This window comes from Homo sapiens, chromosome 21 (genome assembly GCF_000001405.40).
Source record: "Homo sapiens chromosome 21, GRCh38.p14 Primary Assembly".
NCBI classification, from domain to species: domain Eukaryota; kingdom Metazoa; phylum Chordata; class Mammalia; order Primates; family Hominidae; genus Homo; species Homo sapiens.
Window position 1 is genome coordinate 33568826 of NC_000021.9, and position 20116 is coordinate 33588941.

Below are 20116 nucleotides of genomic sequence, written 5' to 3' on the forward strand. Positions count from 1 at the left end.
AAGTTTAGGCAAACATTTAATGTTAAATATGTTTTAAAAGTTAAATATTTAAGTCTGCTTTTCAGCCATTTTTAGTGAATTATTACCAGTGATGTTTTAATCAGGTAATTTTACTTAGTTAACTGAGACTACTTCTTTTCTTCAGATTGATGCCTGGGCTCAGCTGAACTCTATTCCTGGCCAGTTCACAGGAAGTACAGGAGTACAGGTTTTGACACAAGAACAGTTGGCCAATACTGGTGCCCAAGCCTGGATTAAAAAGGTACACAGTATATGCACATATGAAAGTGTCGAACAAAAAGTTTAAATTTTTTGGAAACTGTTTATTAAAACTGCATGAAAAGACCAGTGACTCTAACCAAAGTTCCAAGTAAATTTGCTATGTGTATATGCTCCAGGGCGGACACTGAAGACGGACTGGATTCATGAGAAAATGGCAAATGTATAAATGTGGCTCAAGAGCCACTAACTTATAAGGTTATTTTAAAAATTGTTACTGCTGCTTTTGAAGGGGTGATTTAACTTTATTTTGAACGCTAATAGTGTATCAGGTGCTGTTCAGAATATTCCACAGTTCCTGCTGGACTACTAACCTAATCATTTCAAAGCAGTGGTTCTCAAATTTTTCTTCATCATGGGATACTTTATTACAGGTTTATTTTTAGTGGATCACTGCCCCCAAGAGCCCTCTACCACCTTAATTTTCCATTCCTCTATTCCTTTGCCCTCGCACCCCACCCGCTTCATTAGTGCCTGTGCCTTCTTGTAAGATCTCTTGGCCCCCGTTCCTCACTCCTCTTGTGACCTGTAGCCCCAGGACCTTTTGGTTGTCAGCTGCTGGTTACAGCAAGTGGTTGGGAGGCCCTAGTATTAGCTCTGCATGTGGTGATCTTGCCATGGGACTGGAAGCCTGAGGGAGGATGGCTGGAGTGGGGTGGGCTGTGGTGAAGGGGATGGGATGGAGATTAATCTGTGGACCACCATTTAGGCCCTAGTGGCCTCTGGTGATCCACAGGCTCAATTTGAGAACCACTAATTTCATGACAAAACAGATATGTAAGACCTAAAATCAAGGGAGAGAATGGACGCCTCGTGCTACGAAGATGTAGGTGCATCTGGTTTCAGATTCTGCAGTGAGACCTGTGAACTCCACCTACGGCTGCCTCATCATTGGGGGAGTCTTAGGTGGCTAAGAAGGGCATTCTGAAGAAACGCGTTGTGGTGAAGGGACAAAGCTTGGTTGGATGGGTGATGGGAAATTTGTTACAGGAGTACTGGCAGCATAGCAGTGCTGAAACTGGGAGGCCGCGTGGTCTAATGGATTGGGAAGGTTTCTTTATCCTGTTGTACTCCTGACTCCTTGTGTAATCATGGGCAAGTAACTCTTTGGAATTTCAAAGTCTCTGAGGTGTCTAGTGGTAATCAGTAACGTGATGGTTACCTATAGAGAGTTGCTATGAGTGCCAGTGAATGAGCTGAATTTCTGAAAAATGAGACATTGGTTGCTTTGTGTATTTTAATCTTGTAACATTTATTTCAATTTTGATAGCTTTATCTTTGTTGATCTTACTAACAAATTAATATGAAACATCATGTATACTCATTATGCCTGCCTTTTTTTGGGAAGTAGTTGCACTGATGTGTATAGTGAGTACACAGTTAGATTCATTAAGAAATTACAATTTCTGCAGTTTGCTGAGGGTTGGTGTTAGAATAAAGGGTGAAAATGTATATAGCAAAATATTTTAAAGATTGGATTAATCTTGGACTTCTATATTATAGTTACTATGAAAGTGATTTATATAATATTTGAAAAAATGTCTTTCATCTTTGGAAGAACTATAAATGTACATCTATTTCTTTAGTTTTAATTCTTTAATACTATTTAGTCTTGAAGCTAAGTACTCAGCCAGTATTTCAGGAAGTTAGAAATAAAGCTTATGGGTGTTAAAATAGGCACATAATACAGAGTCATGTACACTGCTAGGTAGAAACTTCTGAATGTGCTTCCATTACAAAATTTTGGTCTTTATCTAATGATGTGCTGATCCATAATGTTTGTATACTTATAAATGTGTTAATAACTTAAATAACTTTTAAAAAGTGAATCTTTTACTGACTCAATTGGTTTTCCCCTAAAATAATTTCTTCTGGTATTTGCAGTCTTGTAGGCAGTTAACAGACTTTAATAACTTTAAAATGTTTAGTAGCACCTTGAAAAAAGGCTTCAACTTTATATTTTATGTAAGATATACTTTGGGAAGCAAATTATTTTGATAAATTATGAGATAAAGATATGTTCAGACCAAATTTTAAATTATAGATAAAAGTAGCACTTAAAGGAAAAGATTCATTTGTATAGAATTACTGAAGAATATTTGATGCTAGTATCAACTAAAAAAGAAACTTTTGAAAATTAAAAATGGGCCACAACATGTAGAAGTCATTAGGCAGCTGAAAATTTAGGATGTATGATCCATGTTAAATATCACAAATATTGTCTACTCATTAAATGTTTAGTTGTGTTTAGAAAACCTGTCAAACGATCATTTTGGCTCTTCTTTAGTATAGTCCAGCATCTGCCTTATGTGTTAAAAAACACATGGAATACCAACATCCTCCGTGTTCTTTTTAGTTTGTTGCAGTGTATTTTTAGATTACAAAAAAAGCAAAGTTTTATCAGTAGTCTCATTAATCAGTAAAACATTTAAAGTAGTTCGTTTAAAAGAAATTTTATTTCTAGAATGGAATGATTTGGATGTGACCTGATAAATACAGTTTGTTATTGTGGTCTCATTAAATTAATCAGCTTTTTCACACTGGGGTAAAGAAACAGATGATGATACTAGGGAATGGAAACAAAATTGGAAACCTGGGTTATTTGGGGATTTATATTGTACTCTGCACAGTTGCCCTTTTTTTTAGGCGTGTTCCCTGGAAAAGAGGGACGGATGAACCTGGAAGTAAGTAAAAGACATTCTAGGTGTGTAGCATCAAGGCAGTTAATATCCAAGCATCAGCTTTCTCTTTATACATCTACACTGCATGGCCTGCACCAAATAAGGAACTGAACCAGGGGTATGTTTTTACCTCCACAGCTGCCTCCTTCCATCAGAGCACCTTGATGAACTTAATGTCTAGTCACACGTCATTGGCATGTTTTCTCCCCAGCATTTAATTACAAAGCTGGGAAACAAAAGATGATAGATACAGTTTTACTACTGCATACAAACATTTCTTTTTTACATTCAGTATTAACTTATCAATATAGGAGATGTGCATACTATTTCCTGAGCTACTGAAGTTTTTTTACTCTCTCTGTTGATAAGTTAATGACTTTTGCTATATTATATATTTATATATATATATATATATATATTTGGTAAGAGAACATAAAAACCTAAAATTTAGTAACAAGGGGAAAATAAAGCATGATTTGGAGATATGTTTCAAATTTTTAAAAAATGACCATAAAGATCAACAGTACAACTTAATACTGTTTGCTATATGTACATGGATGCCCTTTAATAAGAGGCATTGAATATTTCTTAACCTGTAAAAATAACTGTTGACCATGCTAATGTATATATACTTGTGCATCTTAGGACATTAAGTGGTTTGCTGCTTTGATGGAAATTATGGTTCAGTGGGTTGGATACAAGAGAGATGACTGTTCACAGAATAACCTGTGAACTTTCACCCCTCTGTATGGAAACTTGTTTCAGGGCCAAATCCTTGTAGCTGTCTTCTTGCCCCGGTCAGTGCCAGCCGTACTATTCACAACACTGCTGCTACCGAGGCCTAGGTATGTAAACATTTAAGGAGTTTTTTAAAAGTCTTTTAACATCAAGCTAGGTTTTAAAAGAATTCAAATTCATTTTGGCATACTTACAGGATATTTTATGTGATTGTTTTCTATTTGTTACTGTGTAAATTTCAAGAGTTTTTTTTTTTTTTTCTGCTTTAGGGATTTTCTAAGTAAAATATTTATACTTGCTTTATAGTAGAATGGGGAAGAAAACTTTGGATGACAACAGTATGCTTCTTCAGTGTCTAAACTATTTCTAAGTGATTTCTGGGCTTTATTCATAAACTAGGTACACCTGGGACAATTAATATCATTGATTGTTTTAACATTGCCTTCTTTTTATTTTGCAAGCTAAGAAGAGATACCAGTGAACCTAAATAGTGGACGAAAACAGGAGTGTTCTAATTTTTTTTTTTTGAGGGGGGCACGAGGGCTACTGTTTCAAAACTGCCATTTACTTGTCTTATTTGACTTCCAAAATACTATTACGTTAATGTGCAAATAATCAGAACATACACACTACAGTATGTATAAAGTATAGAGGAATTTACATTTAATTGCTATAACAGATCTAGAAGTAAAGTAAGATTCCTCTTTTTAGAAAGTAAACAATGAATCTGTCACCAAGTTCTAACTGTAAAATGGGGACATTTTACCTTTCTTTCTTTGGATAGGATCAGTTCTTAAGAGCAGCCCCGGTAACTGGAGGAATGGGAGCCGTTTTGATGAGAAAAATGGGCTGGAGAGAAGGAGAAGGATTAGGAAAAAACAAAGAAGGCAATAAGGAACCCATCCTAGTTGATTTTAAGACAGACCGAAAAGGTAACAAGTTCTTTTTTGGAATGTTTATTAACGTCTCCTTTAACATTACCTTTAATATATCCTTTTGAACCCAGTGATACTGAACTGAAGGCACTTCTTGTATATATACAGGTATTTGTCAGAAAAAACATTAACCCCTTTTGGGGTTCACAGAGCAGCTTATTTTTATATAACTATGGATAGAGACACCAGTTTGAACTTTTAAAAGGCACCTTTTGTTATGCTAGTTGCTAAATATGGAAATGTGTATATATCTAATTTTATTATTACACCTCCAAATTCAACTGGATTTCATGTTTAGAAAACAGGATTTCCATTTTATTTTCTCTTGACAAGGAACCATCCTTTTTTCTAGAGTTTAGTTTATTTTTTGTTAGATATTTTAGCACATCTTCATTATTTCCTATTACAATACTGGTTTAGTCTAGATTTCATAAACCCTGTTTGCTTTTTTCTTCCAAGCTCAGTAGTTAAGTTGGGTTAGAGTATAGTAGACCAGCTGCTGACAATAATGTTACTTCTTCCTGTTGCCTTGTGTTAAGGCATCTTGGAACTGTTAGCATTGACTGTATTTTCCTTTTACCTTCAGATACCTGGGCAGGGCAGCACTGTGTCTTCTATGTAGCTTGTATGTAGTTGCTAAGTATTTAATCATTCCCACAGATGATAGCTAATTGGCGTCTTTTAAATAACTTCTTCCCTTGGAATAATGTAAGTGGAATCATGAGAGGCTTGCCAGCTCAGTATGATTTTTGTATAGCTTGTTTAAACCTCATTTATAAAAGCTGACAAATGTAAAACTGGGATTTATTTTCATCTTTGTAATCAAACAGTAAGTTGAAGCTAACTTCAATAGTTAAACTGTCTTAATGAATTTGGAAATGAACTAGCTCTGCACCAAATACTTTGATGTTAAGTATTGTACAATTTCAGGAAGCATTGTCCTTGGAATTGTGGGACATGGCCTGACTGTAAGCTCTCAGAGAACCACAGATTTCCCAGGATAGGTTTAGAAAAGCTTATATTAGCATGGAATTATTTAGCAAAGGTTGAAAAATTTCCTGTAACATACAGGATGAGCATCCCACATCTGGAAACCTGAAATGCTTTAAAACAGAAAACTTTTTGAATACTGATATGATGCTCAAAGGAAATACTCATTGGTGCATTTTGGATTTCAGCCTCTTCAGATTTGGGATGCTTGACCGCTAAATACAATGCAAATATTTGAAAACCTGGAATCAACCGACACACTTCTGGTCCCAAGCATTTTGGATAAGGAATACTCAACCTGTATATGAATTGGGAAAGCAGTGTTTGGGTTTAGCAATGTAGCTAATCCCCTTTGTAATAAGTCTATGGAGAGAGAGGTTATGTAGAAAGGTTATGTTCATATTTTGAGAACATCTCCCATTTGTTAGGAAGGGAGAGGAGAGTTTGCTAGGAAAAAAGGGACCTATTTTATTTGGAGACAACCGTTTTCACCTTTTTGGTGGCTTAAAATCCTAACCTTTTTTGGAAGAGTCTTAACTGAAGCTTATTTTTTTAAGAGACAGTAAATCTGCAGAAATCACTTGGCAATAAGCTATTTTTTTTCTTTTTTTGAGATGGAGTTTTGCTCGTTGCCCAGGCTGTCAGTGGCACGATCTTTACTCACTGCAACCTTCGCTTCCAGGTTCAAGCGATTCTCCTGCCCCAGCCTCCCGAGTAGCTGGGATTACAGGCGCGCACCACCACGCCCGGCTAATTTTTGTTTCTTTAGTAGAGACGGGGTTTCACCATGTTGGCCAGGCTGGTCTCAGACTCTTGACCTCAGGAGATCCACCCGCCTCGGCCTCCCAAAGTGCTGGGATTACAGGCATGAGCCACTGTGCCTGGCCATACTTAACTTTTTGTTTTCTGTTTACATTTGGTATTTATTACAATTTCTCATACCAAGATCTATGAATATTAAATATAAATTTATATGCTGAAAAACAGTAAAAGAGAAGAAAGAGAAGATTGATAGAGAAATCGAGTGTACTAGGAATCTGCTGATTTTATTTGAAGGCATACATTTTGAGGTTCAGACTCCTACAGAGGGATCTTTGTTTTAAAGTGGTGCTTTGAAATTTATTTAGTGAACAATTTTTTTTTAAAGGTCTTGTTGCAGTAGGAGAAAGAGCACAAAAGAGGTCTGGGAACTTCTCTGCTGCAATGAAAGATCTGTCAGGTGAGAGCACGTTTTTGAATTTCCTCTTACCCTAATCCCACCTTGAATTCATTATTTGTTGCAGAAGTTGGTGGAAATAATTTAAAACTGGGTATTTCTCCCCCCTGCAGGCAAACATCCTGTGTCTGCTTTGATGGAGATCTGTAATAAAAGAAGGTGGCAACCACCTGAATTTCTATTGGTCCATGATAGTGGCCCTGATCATCGCAAACATTTTCTCTTTAGGGTAAATATGAATTTCTGCATTAATTATATATATTTATTAATGTGATGACTTAGAGGGTGAGGGGTAAACATGATCACAGGATTAAGATTCTGTTCATGGGTGGGGGGTTTGTATTTGTAGTTAAGTGGTGGGGTTTTTAAACACTGAAGGGTGCTTTAATACGACTTGTCAATGTCCTATTTTTTAAAAAATTGGAAAAGGGTAAAATATAGTATACAATTGTTATTTTCTAGTTGAATGTGGGGAATTAATTTAATACTTTTGTCAGTCTTTTTCTCAATTTGGAGACCTGCTCTAATTTGCAGTCCCTTTCCCAAATGATTTGGTTCTTCGGGTTGAGATTATAATTTGACTTACATAGTATGGGTTTTATATTTTTGTAAATTATTTTTCTAGCATTTAGTGAAAAAATACAAAGCTAATAGATATTAAAGTTTGATGCTGTTCTTATTGTATGTTTTTCTTGAATAGGTATTGAGAAATGGAGCCCTTACCAGACCCAATTGTATGTTTTTCTTGAATAGGTATTGATAAATGGAAGCGCTTACCAGCCCAGCTTTGCCAGCCCTAATAAGAAGCATGCTAAAGCCACAGCAGCTACTGTGGTTCTTCAAGCAATGGGCCTTGTACCAAAGGACCTCATGGCTAATGCCACTTGCTTCAGGAGTGCCTCACGTAGATAGATTGAGGTTTTATAATAATCATTTCAGAATTTTACTCTGCATCACAATGTATTTCCTCTTTAATGTTGTAAATATTTGGCAATTTAAGACATTGTGTAAAAAGCAATCTGTAAAAACATCTCCAGGCTTTGATTTTTGTACCATGGAAATTGTATTTAACCATACAGGGTTTTGGTATGTTTATATTGTTTACCTTAGTGATGTATTTGTTTAAGTGGCTAACATCCAAACGACTGTTTGAAGGCATCAGAGTAATCTTCAGTGTGGAATGTTAAATAACGCTTTTATACTGTATTTTGTACTATGATGTAACTCCCCTTCCTTATGGCTAGGCTACTGTAACACTTGCCTGTAATCAGTGAAGGGCTGTGCACCTTGTACTATTTCACAATGGGTTCTGCTGGACAGATAATGGGCCAGTGTTATTGAGGTGATCAAGATCTGTTCCACAGGGCTAATGCCACCATCTCCCCTCAAAATTTTGTAGAGGTTCTAAAAAGAAAGTGGTATGTTGTGTGATGATCAGCACTAAGTCCTGCATTCCTGTTAAAGCCACTTGGGTCATAAGAAGGGAGTAAAAAATGAAGTCTGACTAGAATTCTATTGCAGAGGCCAGTACATTTAGTATGGCATTGAGTTGTGATATAGTTTTACTTTGATGTGCATTTTGAATTTCAGCTACACCTAGATAGACGTAAAATGATAATTAAAATGCTGTAACCAACTTATCTAATAAAATTGGCAACCAGCCACTATTTTGTTGACTATGAGAAAGTTAAAAGTTTATGTTAATTTTTAGGGTCTGATAGAATATTTCATGTGTATTACAGTGGTATTCATATGCTATGTCTCTAAACTTTATTTTCAAAAGCTTAAGGCCCAAATACAAACTTCTCTGGAATAAACGTGGTGTTTTATTTTCTGGGTTATAAAGTGAACAAATACTTAGATACTATTATTTCTTTACCCAATGCTTTTGATTTTTAAGCACTTTTATTTTAAAAATGTGAATTATACAGTCCCCCCCTACACACACACACACACACACACACACACACACACACACACACACACACACACACACACACACACACACACACACACACACACACACACACACACACACCCCTATAAGCACATTAAATACTACTTTGCCGTGACAGCTCAGTGTACTTCACAATTCTTAACACTATTCTATGTGGAATACAAAATGCCTTTTTATCTGAATTAACATGCATTTAAAAAGTTTTAGTATATGTGAAAATAAAGGAATTATAAATCAGTAGGAAAGATATTAAGGTAGAAGCATCACCAATCAACTAGCTCAGTAGATGTTGTCTGTATTTATTTTCTACCTTTATGAAACAAGAACCTGCTAACAGGTAAATCGTAAAGTAACATATTTTTGCCCTGATGCCATTAGTCACAATGCCATGGGGTAACTGCTATGTGATTTCCCATTTGCAAGGAAGCATATTAATTCAGTTTCTGCTCAATATACAATTAGGTTGTAGGGATATAGATATCTCATTTGAGTTATCTGAGTTTTTCATCTTTATATCTAAAAATCTAATCTGAAAATAGTAAAACACATTTAAAACCTTAGATGCTACTGTAGTAAAAGTTATGTTTATAAACATTTCAGTATATTCCTTCAACTTCAAGAATCTTGAATTTCCTTGCTAGAAGGCTTTTTTCCTCAAAGATTCCTTTTAGGCTTACTTTGGTGTTCAGGATCTCCAATTATAAATGTAGTCTCTCAGCACCACATTCCGTAAAGATGATTTCCCAAGTAACGGTATTTGACTAAGTTGCTCCAGAGTGTTAGGGTGCAAACCACAGTTAGTAAGCTCCTTATGAACAACCTCCTGTGGAAATGTGTGTACAAGTCAGTAAAAAGCACATTAGTCTTTAAACACAGAAGAGTTAAATAATTACTATGGAGACTGACAAATAAATGGCTGATTAATGTGATTCATCCTATTAATAGAAGTTGATGCTAAGAATTTTTGTAGTGACAAAATCCCAAAATATTAATGGTTATAAGTCTAGCCAACTGAGATGCATGAGACAATTTTAAAGGTCTTAATTCTAACTCTAAAAACCTTAAGTATGTTCAAAATTAAAGGCAAATATGGTTAAATACCCACAGTGAATTGTTTCCTTAAACTATAAAGGAATCAGGTACTATTGAGTTTTGGATGCAAGAGGAAATGAAAAAGCTGCCCCTTTTTGGAATGGGAAGTTCTTCAGTCACTGTTAAAACTATTTGGACTGAGGCCGGGTGCCGTGGCTCAAGCCTGTAATCCCAACATTTTGGGAGGCCAAGGTGGGCAGATCACCTGAAGTCAGGAGTTCAAGACCAGCCTGGCCAACATGGTGAAACCCCCGTCTCTAATAAAGATACAAAAAATAGCCAGATGTGGTGGCACATGCCTGTAATCTCAGCTACTTGGGAGGCTGAGGCAGGAGAACTGTTTGAACCCAGGAGGCTAAGGCTGCAGTGAGCCGAGACTCGCGCCGCTGCACTCCAGCCCGGGCAACAGCAAGACTCCATCTCAAAAAAAAAAAAAAATTGTACTTGGACTGAATTCATGAAAGCTACCTCACATAAACAACTTACAGACATTATTCCTTCCTCTAGTAATTCATAATTAAGTAACAGTTTAATTACTTGAAACACAATAGTGACTCAGCATAAATGACTCAATTTCCCTCCAGCTAGTTTGAGGAAACTACAACTAAAACAGTCTGCTCATAGGTGTCTACTTACCATATCAAGTACTTTGTCCATTTGCAGGCAGATGTTAAATACAGCAGTTGGCTCGTGTGGATACAGTACTGCAGAGAAAGATCCACTCTGTGAAGATTTGAGCAGCATGGTCAGTGAATGCAGAGAATGAGGCATGATAGGACCTGTAATCTCCAAACTAAATTGGTCTCTGTATCCAGAAAGAGCTTGTGTCTTCACATTCACACTCCGTGCCTTCATGAAAATGTAAAGAAAAGGAAAATTAAGATCATCTCTCAACCTTTTGCCTAGCCAAAAATATGTTCAATATATTTCCATTTGGGGTTTCCTCTCTTTTAACAATTATGGAATAAAACTATTTCCCAAGACATCTAAACAATGTTATGTGAGTACAAATACTTAGTAAATTTTCAGCAACCTTTCCATATTAAGAGATTTTCAGGTGAAGTATATTCCAGAGAATACCATTTTTTCATATAGTATTTTATCTGATTTAGTAATACACTGTCAATGCAGACTATTGGAAAAACAAAAATTTAAAATCCATTCAATTTTATTGCTAAGATTTAGCATGTATTTTGTATTTACATATATAATTTATTATGATTATAATCCCAGCACTTTGGGAGGCCAAGGTGGGCAGATCACTTGAGGTCAGGAGTTCAAGACCAGCCTGGCCAACATGGTGAAACCTCGTCTCTATTAAAAATACAAAAAAATTAGCCAGGCATGGTGGTGTGAGCCTATAGTCCCAGCTACTTGGGAAGCTAAGGCAGAAGAATCACCTGAGCCCCAGAGGCAGAGGTTGAAGAATCGCTTGAGCCCGTTAGGCAGAGTTTGCAGTGAGCCAAAATTGAGCCACTGCTCTCCAGCCTGGGTGACAGAGCAAGACTCCGTCTCTAAATAGATAGATGAATGAATGAATGAATGAATGAATGAATGCAGGGCGGCCAGGTGCAGTGGCTCATGCCTGTAATCCCAGCACTTTGGGAGGCCGAGGGCAGATCATGAGGTCAGGAGTTCGAGACCACCCTGACCAACATGGTGAAAACCCGTCTCTACAAAAAATACAAAAAAAAAAAAAAATTAGCCAGGCGTGGTGGCACACGCCTGGGTGAGAGTGAGATTCCACCTCAAAAAAAAAAAAAAAAAAAAAAAAAAAAAAAAAAAAAAAAAGCAGGGCATGGCAGTCCTGTGGTCCGATACTCGAGAGGCTGAGGCAGGAATTTCACTTGAGCCCACATGGTTGAGGCTGCAGTGAGCTGTGCCACTGCACTACAGCAAGACCCTGTCTCCCCAACCAAAAAAAGAAAATAAATGTTCGTATAATTTAAAAAGAGGCCAGGAGTTCAAGACCAGCCTGGCCAATATGGTGAAACTCCGTCTATACTAAAAATACAAAAATTAGCTGGGCGTGGTGGTGCCCACCTGTAACCCCAGCTACTCGAGAGGCTGAGGCAGAAGAATCGCTTGAACCCCAGAGTTGGAGGCTGCAGTGAGCCGAGATCGCACCACTGCACTGCAGCCGGTGACAGAGTGGGACTCCCTCTTAAAACAAACAAACAAAAACAAACAAGAAAAAAAAAAACAAAAAAAATAGCTAGGCTTGGTGGTGTGTGCTTGTAATCCCAGCTACTCAAGAGGCTGAGGCATGGCGCGAGAATCACTTGAACCCGGGAGGCAGGGGTTGCAGTGAGTTGAGATCACGCCACTGCACTCCATTCAGCCTGGATAGCAGCGCAAGACTCCATCTCGAAAAGAAAATAAAAAGGATTTCATATAATTTATATATTTCCACATAATTTCTTTGATATAACTGTCTTATATAATTTTTGTTTCTTTTTTTAATGGGAGGAAAGCAAAATGAAAATATGTACCAAGTAAAAATGCTAGGAGGTTTTTTTTTAAATCAAGAATTTATCCTATCAAAGTAAAGTACTTCTTAAAAGCTAGGTTATGCAGACTTTTATTACCTTAAGCATTTGCATTGTGGCACCTCGGAAAGCAACAGGGGACAAGAGGGTTGGAGGAAGTCCTGCCTGTGGACCTGAGGTAGCAACTAAACTCTTAGAGTTAATCAAAAAATTGAGCAATGTAAAGGTGTTGATTCCTTTTACCAACACAACAGATTCAGGTCTGTGATCCATTTGTACTTCATGTTTCTCTTTACGCCTGAAGATGACAATCAAGGAAATTGCAAAAGCAAATCTCACCTAATGTGGAAAGCAGTTATCTTGATTCTGAATCACCTGAGACTCCTTTTCTCCATAATGAAATGGAAATCCTCTTGCTACCTCTCTTTACCGAATCATAAGGCATATGTTTCAATCAAAATGTTAACAATCTGAATTTGCTACAAACTGACACCTAAACCTAATTTCTTCTCTAGTCAAAACACACCTATTCTCCCACAATCATAATTGAACGTTTTGATTAAAAAAGGTTTAATAGTTCACCATTTGTTGATACTTAGGGGCTTATTTAGTATTACAATGGAGAATTAGTTTTAATATGACCTGAAGATAATTTAAGATTATAATCATATAAAACTGCCAATGTTAAACTTCTCACTAACGTCATTCAATGAAAATTAATTCTAGTTAACAACAACTGAAAGGATACAGCTTGATAGAAAGTATGTCTGGCTTTTTAATTTTATCTTGCACACCCATCTCTTCCAGCCAGGAAAAACTTTCCTCTTCATCCTCATCACTGATGGCTTGCTCCCTAGGAAATTGCTACAGTTAGAGTCCCTATTTCACAAGCTGTTCCTGTGCAAATCTATTTCATGAGTCCATAAGTCAGTGGATGATATAAAGTTATTTTAATCACATACTCCCCATATCCCAAGCTTGTTCCAGATGCTGTCTCCTTCTTATGGCCACTTTCTTTTATTAAAGGCAGAGAAAATTCAATACCTATATGAGGAACAAAAATGTAACTGAGTTGTCATTTAAAGTATTTAACAGGCATGCTGTACTTTTAGAGTGTAAAAAATTTGAAATGTTAGTTTTTACAAATGATCTATTAAGGCAGTAGAGTTTTCAAGCTTTCTTCACAAACCTACAAACATGCATAAAACGTATTCTCCTTGAAAGAGGTTCGGGAAACAACACATACATGTAACACTCTTTCATAAATCATATTGTATTCCAGTTCACTTTTTGAAAAAGTACTGATTGGGCCCATTAAGTAGATTTCATGATCCACTAATGGGTTTACTCAGTTTGAAAATTTTGTTATTAAAGGGGTAATTGGTACTATAGAAGAATTTCTAGAAGAGTATATTCAGATAGTGACTATCTGGCCCAATATGTGTTTTATTTTAGAGATCAGAGAACACTATGTGGAAGGAACAGTTTAAATCAGGAGTCCCCAACCCCTGGACTGTGGACTGGTACTGGCCTGTGGCCTGTTAGAAACCGGGCTGCACAGCAGGAGGTGAGCGACTGTCGAGTGAACATTACTGCCTGAGCTCCATCTCCTGTCACATCAGTGGTCGCATTAGATTCTCACAGGGGCACGAATCCTACTGTGAACTGTGCATGTGAGGCATCTAGGTTGTGCCCTCCTTATAAGAATGATGATCTTGTCCGGGCGCGGTGGCTCACGCCTGTAAGCCCAGCACTTTGGGAGGCCGAGGCGGGCGGATCACGAGGTCAGGAGATCGAGATCGTCCTGGCTAACACGGTGAAACCCCGTCTCTACTAAAAATACAAAAAATTAGCCGGGCATGGTTGCAGGCACCTGTAGTCCCAGCTACTCGGGAGGCTGAGGCAGGAGAATGGCCTGAACCCAGGAGGCGGAGCTTGCAGTGAGCCGAGATTGCACCACTGCATTCTAGCCTGGGTGACAGAGCGAGTCTCCATCTCAAAAAAAAAAAAAAAAAAAAAAAAAGAATGATCATCTGATGTGTAACAGTTTCATCCCGAAACCATCCTCCTCACTGCCCATGAAACTGATCCCTAGTGCCAAAAAGTTTGCGGACTGCTGGATTAAATAATTGTGGGGGAGGGAAAAAAAGCCAGAAATAAAGAAATAATATATTTCTTAATGTTGCTAATCAACTGGTAAAAGGCATTTTAAATTTAAATAGCTTTTAGGCCAAAATAGGTTTACTATATAGTATAGTATTCTCACTTTAAACCTAAACTTTTACCTTCATTTCTCATAGCTTCTCTTAAACCTCGAGTTGTTGGAGATATGAGAGCTGTGATTAAGTCACTTCCAGCTAATCCTGCTGCTCGGAACAGGACAGTAAACTGATAGGTACAAACGTAGAAATAGGGGCAAAGTTTTGTCTTCAGCAAATTATATAGAGAAGTAAAGCTCACAGACCTATGAAGTAAAAAAATTTTCTTAAGGTATTATTAAACATTTAATGCAATGTTTATAATTCTGAATAATTCAGTTTGATACCTGGTTTAAAACACAACACAAATATTTTAGATAATGGTTTTAATTTTTGTGGTTACGTATGACTTAGCTTTAAAGGACTGAAATTGGTTATGAGGACTCGCTGATGACTTCTCAATACTTTAACAAATAGTGTATACCACTTAAACACTTATTTTTTCTTTAAACAAAACTTAATTGAGAATTGCCTGCTGACTTTCTCTGAGCTGCTGCTAAAAAAGGAAGCAGAGACTGACAAGAAGTAGCATTAAAGAATTAGGGCTGCGTGTTTATATATATATATATATATATATATATATATACTTTTTTTTTTTTTTTGAGACGGAGTTTCGCTCTGTCGCCCAGGCTGGAGTGCAGTGGCGCGATCTCGGCTCACTGCAAGCTCTGCCTCCCAGGTTCATGCCATTCTCCTGCCTCAGCCTCCCGAGTAGCTGTGACTATAGGCACCCGCCACCACACCAGGCTAATTTTTTTTGTATTTTTAGTAGAGACAGGGTTTCACCGTGTTAGCCAGGATGGTCTCAATCTCCTGACCTTGTGATCCGCCTGCCTCGGCCTCCCAAAGTGCTGGGATTACAGGCGTGAGCCACCACACCCGGCCTGCCTGTCTGTATATATTTAACCAACACTTATATACATTCTACCACAATTGGGTAAAGAATGAGTAACAGCTAAAAAAAAAAAAAGTAAACAGTTTATATGTTGGTTATTAATAGGTTCAGATAAAATTCACAAGGATCTAGATACCCTTCTGCCATTAACGTATCCAGTCACAAATATGATAGAGAATGCTGCTAAAATAAAATTCACTATTGAATTATACAAGTTTCTCTTACTAATCTTACCAGTCACTCATTAAAACATGCTGCAGGGTTGCATCATTTGACCAAGGACTTGTCTTTCCAGCCATTTTTCTATCAGCTCCAATACGAGGGAACAGTGGTAGCCAAGACAAAGCAGGGTGGAGCCAATAGATAAGGCTCTGCTGGAAGGTACAACGGAGCTCAGAGGAGAGTTTGGGATCCTAAAATCCAAAGGTGACAGTGGGCAGTTTTTGCCCATTGAGAAATAGAGAATTTTATTAAAGACAATCTTTACCAAACACTTAGGTCTAAGAATCTTTATTGCTTTCTATAGGAAAGCATTAATAATTGTTATAGGAACGAAAACATAGTTTATCCTTATTTGAGCCAGATGTAATGGTAAGCCGTAGTATCAGAACATTTAAACATAGATGGGAACATTTTCCTGTTTCTACCATCCTTAAGGACAATGACTACCTTTTTTATCATGAGGAATAGGGGTGGGCATGTGTGTGTAGGTAACACTACATCCAACCCTCTCTCCAAAAGGCTGTTTTAAAAGTAGCCAGTAAACACTGATACGGCAAATCACAAATCATCCTAATCTATTTATTGAAAAGATGTATAATATACCAAGACCTTTTTCAGGGTAATCCTTTTTAACCTAGTTTGAGACTTTAAAAAAATTTTTTTAAGATAGTCTCACTCTGTCACTGAGGCTAGAGTACAGTGGCACAATCAGAGCTCACTGCAGTCTTGACCTCCTGGGCTTAAACAATCCTCCTACCTGAGCCTCCCAAGTAGCTGGGACTACAGGCACCCACCACCATGCTCAGCTAATTTTTTTTTTTTTTTTTTTTTGTAGAGATGGGGTCTCACTACGTTACTCAGGCTGGTCTCAAGCAATCCCCCCACCTCAGCCCCCAAAATGCTGAGATTACAGGCATGGGCTATTGTGCCCAGCCTCCTAGTTTTGAGTTGATGCTTTAAAATAATCAAAATGTATATCTCTAAAACCATTCTAGAACTCACAAACTCCACAAAATTCATAAAATTTTTCTTATACAGGTAAGAAAATCTGTAAATCCATCAGCCCTTGCAATCCCACCCAATTGCTTTTCACTTCTTTCTTTGTATTTTCTTTCTCAAAAAGCCTTAGAGAAAAATAATTTAACAATTCTTGCCTGCAACACTGATTAATTTGCAAGACAAGTCTCTAAATGTATGAGCAGTTACTCAATCTGACTTAAAAAAAAAAAAGGTATGAAAGCACCATAAGCACCATCTGGGAAAGACAAAACTTCCTGTCTTTGTATCTTTAAATTTCCAAAGAAAAACTTAATGGAAGGCAGCATCTGCTATTTTGCAAAGGAGAGCATTTCACACTTAATTTGTTACTTTAACACATAACTATTTTATTTCAGAGTTACCTGTATACTTTTAGGCAAAGTAACTTCTGTTGCCCTACAATGCTGGACAAGACCTTGAGCTTCTTCCTGTGCTTTCAAATGATCTGCCCAGGTAAAGGGTTGAGAAGAGGTGAAAAGGAGTCGCGTTTTAATACTCCAGTCCACAGGTAACTCAGTACTTTTTGAGGACGGAATATCAGGCTCGGAGAATGATACATGTGAAGTCTTTAGAAAACAAAGAATGCAAAAATTAGTCGAGTATCAAGAAAAAACCTTCAACCTAAAGATTTTATCAGCTAACATGATCACTGAAAAGTAAAAATCATATAAGCTGTATAATAAATAACATGAAAAATACATTACACACTGTAAAAAAGTCTGAAAGGAGTCACACTAAACTTTTAACCATGGTTACCTATGGGAAGCGGGAATTTGTTGTTGGGGGTAGGGGTGGTGGAGGGGCAGATTTCACTTTTTAGTTTTTACAGTTCTTTATGGTAGTATAGATGTTTGTATTGAAGTAGAAATATTCCAAGTGTTAAAACATTTTGGATCTTTTAAGCTTCTGAAACTCTGCATCCAGGGCTAACAAAGCCCATATTTAAGAAACATTTCCTGACTTCAAATATTTCCCCTCAACCTGTCTGCTTCAGGTCGACGTTCTCCACAATACAAGAATTTTTTTTTTTTTAAATTGAGACGGAGTCTCCCTCTGTCGCCTAGGCTGAGTGAAGTGGTGTGATCTCGGCTCAGTACCAACCTCTGCCGCCTAGGATCAAGCGATTCTCGTGCCTCGTCCTCCCGAGTACCTGGGACTACAGGCGTGCCCCACCACGCCTGGCTAATTTTTTTGTATTTTTAGTCGAGACGGGGGTTTCGTCATATTGGCCAGGCTGTTCGCGAACTCCTGACCTCAGGTGTGATCCGCCTGCTTCAGCCTCTCAAAGTGTTGGGATTACAGACATGAGCCACTGTGCCCGGCCAAGCATTCTTTTATATCACAATAAAATATCAGAGAAGGGGGAACTATCTTGGATAGACCATAAGAAGGTCACTTATTTACAAGAGAAACTGGGTCTTGGAGAACTCTTCTAGCCTGTTCCCATTAGGACAAACCGCATTTATCAAACTACACAGCACAATGGTAGTAGTTGGGGAATGGAAACGTGTGTGTGTTAGGGGAGAGGAGCAACGAGGTTCAGTGCTATGCCACAACCTGTGGAGGTGGGCCAGGAGGGCTGGCTCTGAGTGATGAACTGGAGAAGTCAACTGCCCAAAGAAGAGTGGTAAAAACTGTTAGAGAGTAAAAGAAAACCCCCACGTCTATCAGGCCTATTTTAGCGCTGGCTATCTTTACAGTCATCATTACTGTATCAAACCAACTCCTTTACCTTGGCTGATGCGGTATTTTCATCCCTGGTTGAGATGATCAAGCCTCTCTGTAAAACTACTTTCCAAGCAAAATGCTTCTGAGAAGTATAAATGTATTTTTAAAAATAGGCTCAAATCCTATGAAAAAAAAGTTTATACAAATACACATTCTAATGATATTTAAAAAGTATTACCTGAGGTAATTCAGTAACAGTTGTTCTTTCAGGAAACTTCTCTTCCCATAGCAAATCATTTTCTTGATTAGAATCTAAAAACTGAGGTTAAATATATTCTCCTTTAAAATTTAAAGGATGCTGAAGTTTGCGTTAAATATGTACAGAGCCTCACCTGGCATACATGTTTCTCAATAAACGCAAGTACACCTAAATTCAGAGGCACCCCATCCAATCTATGAGTTTCAACACTTCAGTTTTGTGTCTGAACTTTAGTATCAAAATTGAGGGGAACAGGGACCGGCGTTTCAAACCGAAAGATCCAAAAGGCTTTGGGTAAGACAGATGCTAGTGAATTCTGACCCCACGAATCCTCGACATTCCCCCATCTCCAGAATAATTTGGAGTGCGTGAGAGAAGGGAGGCCCTAAATCACGGGGGAAGCAGGGCTTGTCACCTGCCCCATCGAACAGCGTCCTTGCAAGATGGGGGCTCTCAGGGTTTTTCGAGCTCTTTTCCAAGTCACCTCTAAGTCCTCTCCAAGGGGCTCCTCGCTGCCCTCTGGGGCCCCCTCACTTTCCTCGGGAACGCGTCCCGTGAGCACAGCCCGCAGCGGGGTAGCCAGGGGAGCGCTCTTCCCACAAACCCGGCCTTGCCAGAATCGCGGCTCCCAGGGCGGGGTACCCTAAGGCCACGGGCGGCCGAAGTCTTCGCGCCCATTTCCTTGCCTCGAACGCGAGGACTTTCCATCCCCCATTCACAGCTGGCTCAACCCACGAAAGACAAGAGCCCCTTGGCGGCCAGGCTACAAGACACTCACCGGGACCGGGGCCTCCGGCTGCTCGCGGGCCGGCCCGTCGGGGGGCTCCGCGGCGACCCGCGGTCGGTTGTCCAGGCGGGCGAAGGGGTTCCTCCGAGCAGCGGCCGGGCCGCCGCCGCTGCCACCGCCTCTGCCCCCCGCAGCAGGGAAAGGGCGAAGAGGCAGCCCCGCCACCAGGGCGGCTCGGCGGGCCGCCGGCTCCGTCAGCTCACGGGGCGGGGAGGCGGCAGCTCCACGGCTCCGGGCCCTTTTCCGTCGGAGCCGCACTACCTCGGGCGGCTTTCGGAAGCCCGGTGAGTAGCCGGGCACCGAAAGGGCCATGACGCGCGGCGGCTGAGGGTAGCCGGCCGCCCTACAGAGACTTCCCGCGCGCGCCGGGCCCGCCCCTGACGTGGCGCCTCGCCGAGCTCCCGCCCCCGACGCGGCCCCGCCTCCGCCCCCGCCGGTTCCGAGCGGAGCATGCGCAGTGGGCAGCCCGCGAGACGCAGCCCGCAGCGGCGATCCCGGGTGGCCGTCAACGCCCACTGTCCCAGCGGTGACCCTGCCCTGGCGCTTCTGCCAGGTCCTCGGCCAGAGTCCAGTCGCCAGGTTCAGCGACGCTTCTGGAAAGTATGCGATCCA

At 39.3% G+C, this 20116-nt stretch overlaps 2 protein-coding genes across 4 annotated transcripts in view, besides 2 other annotated features; one reads left to right on the forward strand and one right to left on the reverse strand.

Moving 5' to 3' along the window:
* Positions 1 to 8656, forward strand: part of SON (SON DNA and RNA binding protein) — a 34444-nt gene extending 25788 nt beyond the window's left edge. For 2 of the 3 annotated variants that reach the window (NM_138927.4, NM_001291412.3), the window contains 5 exons: positions 146 to 262; positions 4483 to 4630; positions 6771 to 6842; positions 6953 to 7068; positions 7540 to 8656. In NM_138927.4, the coding sequence (NP_620305.3) occupies positions 146 to 262; positions 4483 to 4630; positions 6771 to 6842; positions 6953 to 7068; positions 7540 to 7599 (513 nt within the window). In that variant the 3' untranslated portion in view covers positions 7600 to 8656. Of the gene's footprint in view, positions 1 to 145; positions 263 to 3725; positions 3806 to 4482; positions 4631 to 6770; positions 6843 to 6952; positions 7069 to 7539 lie in introns of all 3 variants that reach the window. The other variant, NR_103797.2, reaches the window with a different exon arrangement.
* On the reverse strand, positions 8726 to 19859 carry DONSON (DNA replication fork stabilization factor DONSON). Its single transcript, NM_017613.4, has 10 exons — positions 19496 to 19859; positions 18697 to 18777; positions 17153 to 17356; positions 15765 to 15943; positions 14663 to 14841; positions 13340 to 13421; positions 13126 to 13230; positions 12477 to 12675; positions 10525 to 10737; positions 8726 to 9619 (listed from the first exon to the last, which is right to left on the reverse strand). The coding sequence occupies exons 1-10, from the start codon at positions 19814 to 19816 to the stop codon at positions 9482 to 9484; spliced, it is 1701 nt and encodes a 566-aa protein (NP_060083.1). The 5' UTR covers positions 19817 to 19859; the 3' UTR covers positions 8726 to 9481.
* Positions 19400 to 20089: a silencer, noted in NCBI's record as "silent region_13262". NCBI's record gives its function as "represses an Ori minimal core promoter by ATAC-STARR-seq in GM12878 lymphoblastoid cells {active_cell/tissue: GM12878}" and the evidence as "EXISTENCE:reporter gene assay evidence [ECO:0000049][PMID:35858748]".
* Positions 19548 to 20047: an enhancer, noted in NCBI's record as "H3K27ac hESC enhancer chr21:34960679-34961178 (GRCh37/hg19 assembly coordinates)". NCBI's record gives its function as "activates a minimal SCP1, AML or CMV promoter by ChIP-STARR-seq in primed H9 embryonic stem cells {active_cell/tissue: H9 hESC(primed)}" and the evidence as "EXISTENCE:reporter gene assay evidence [ECO:0000049][PMID:30033119]".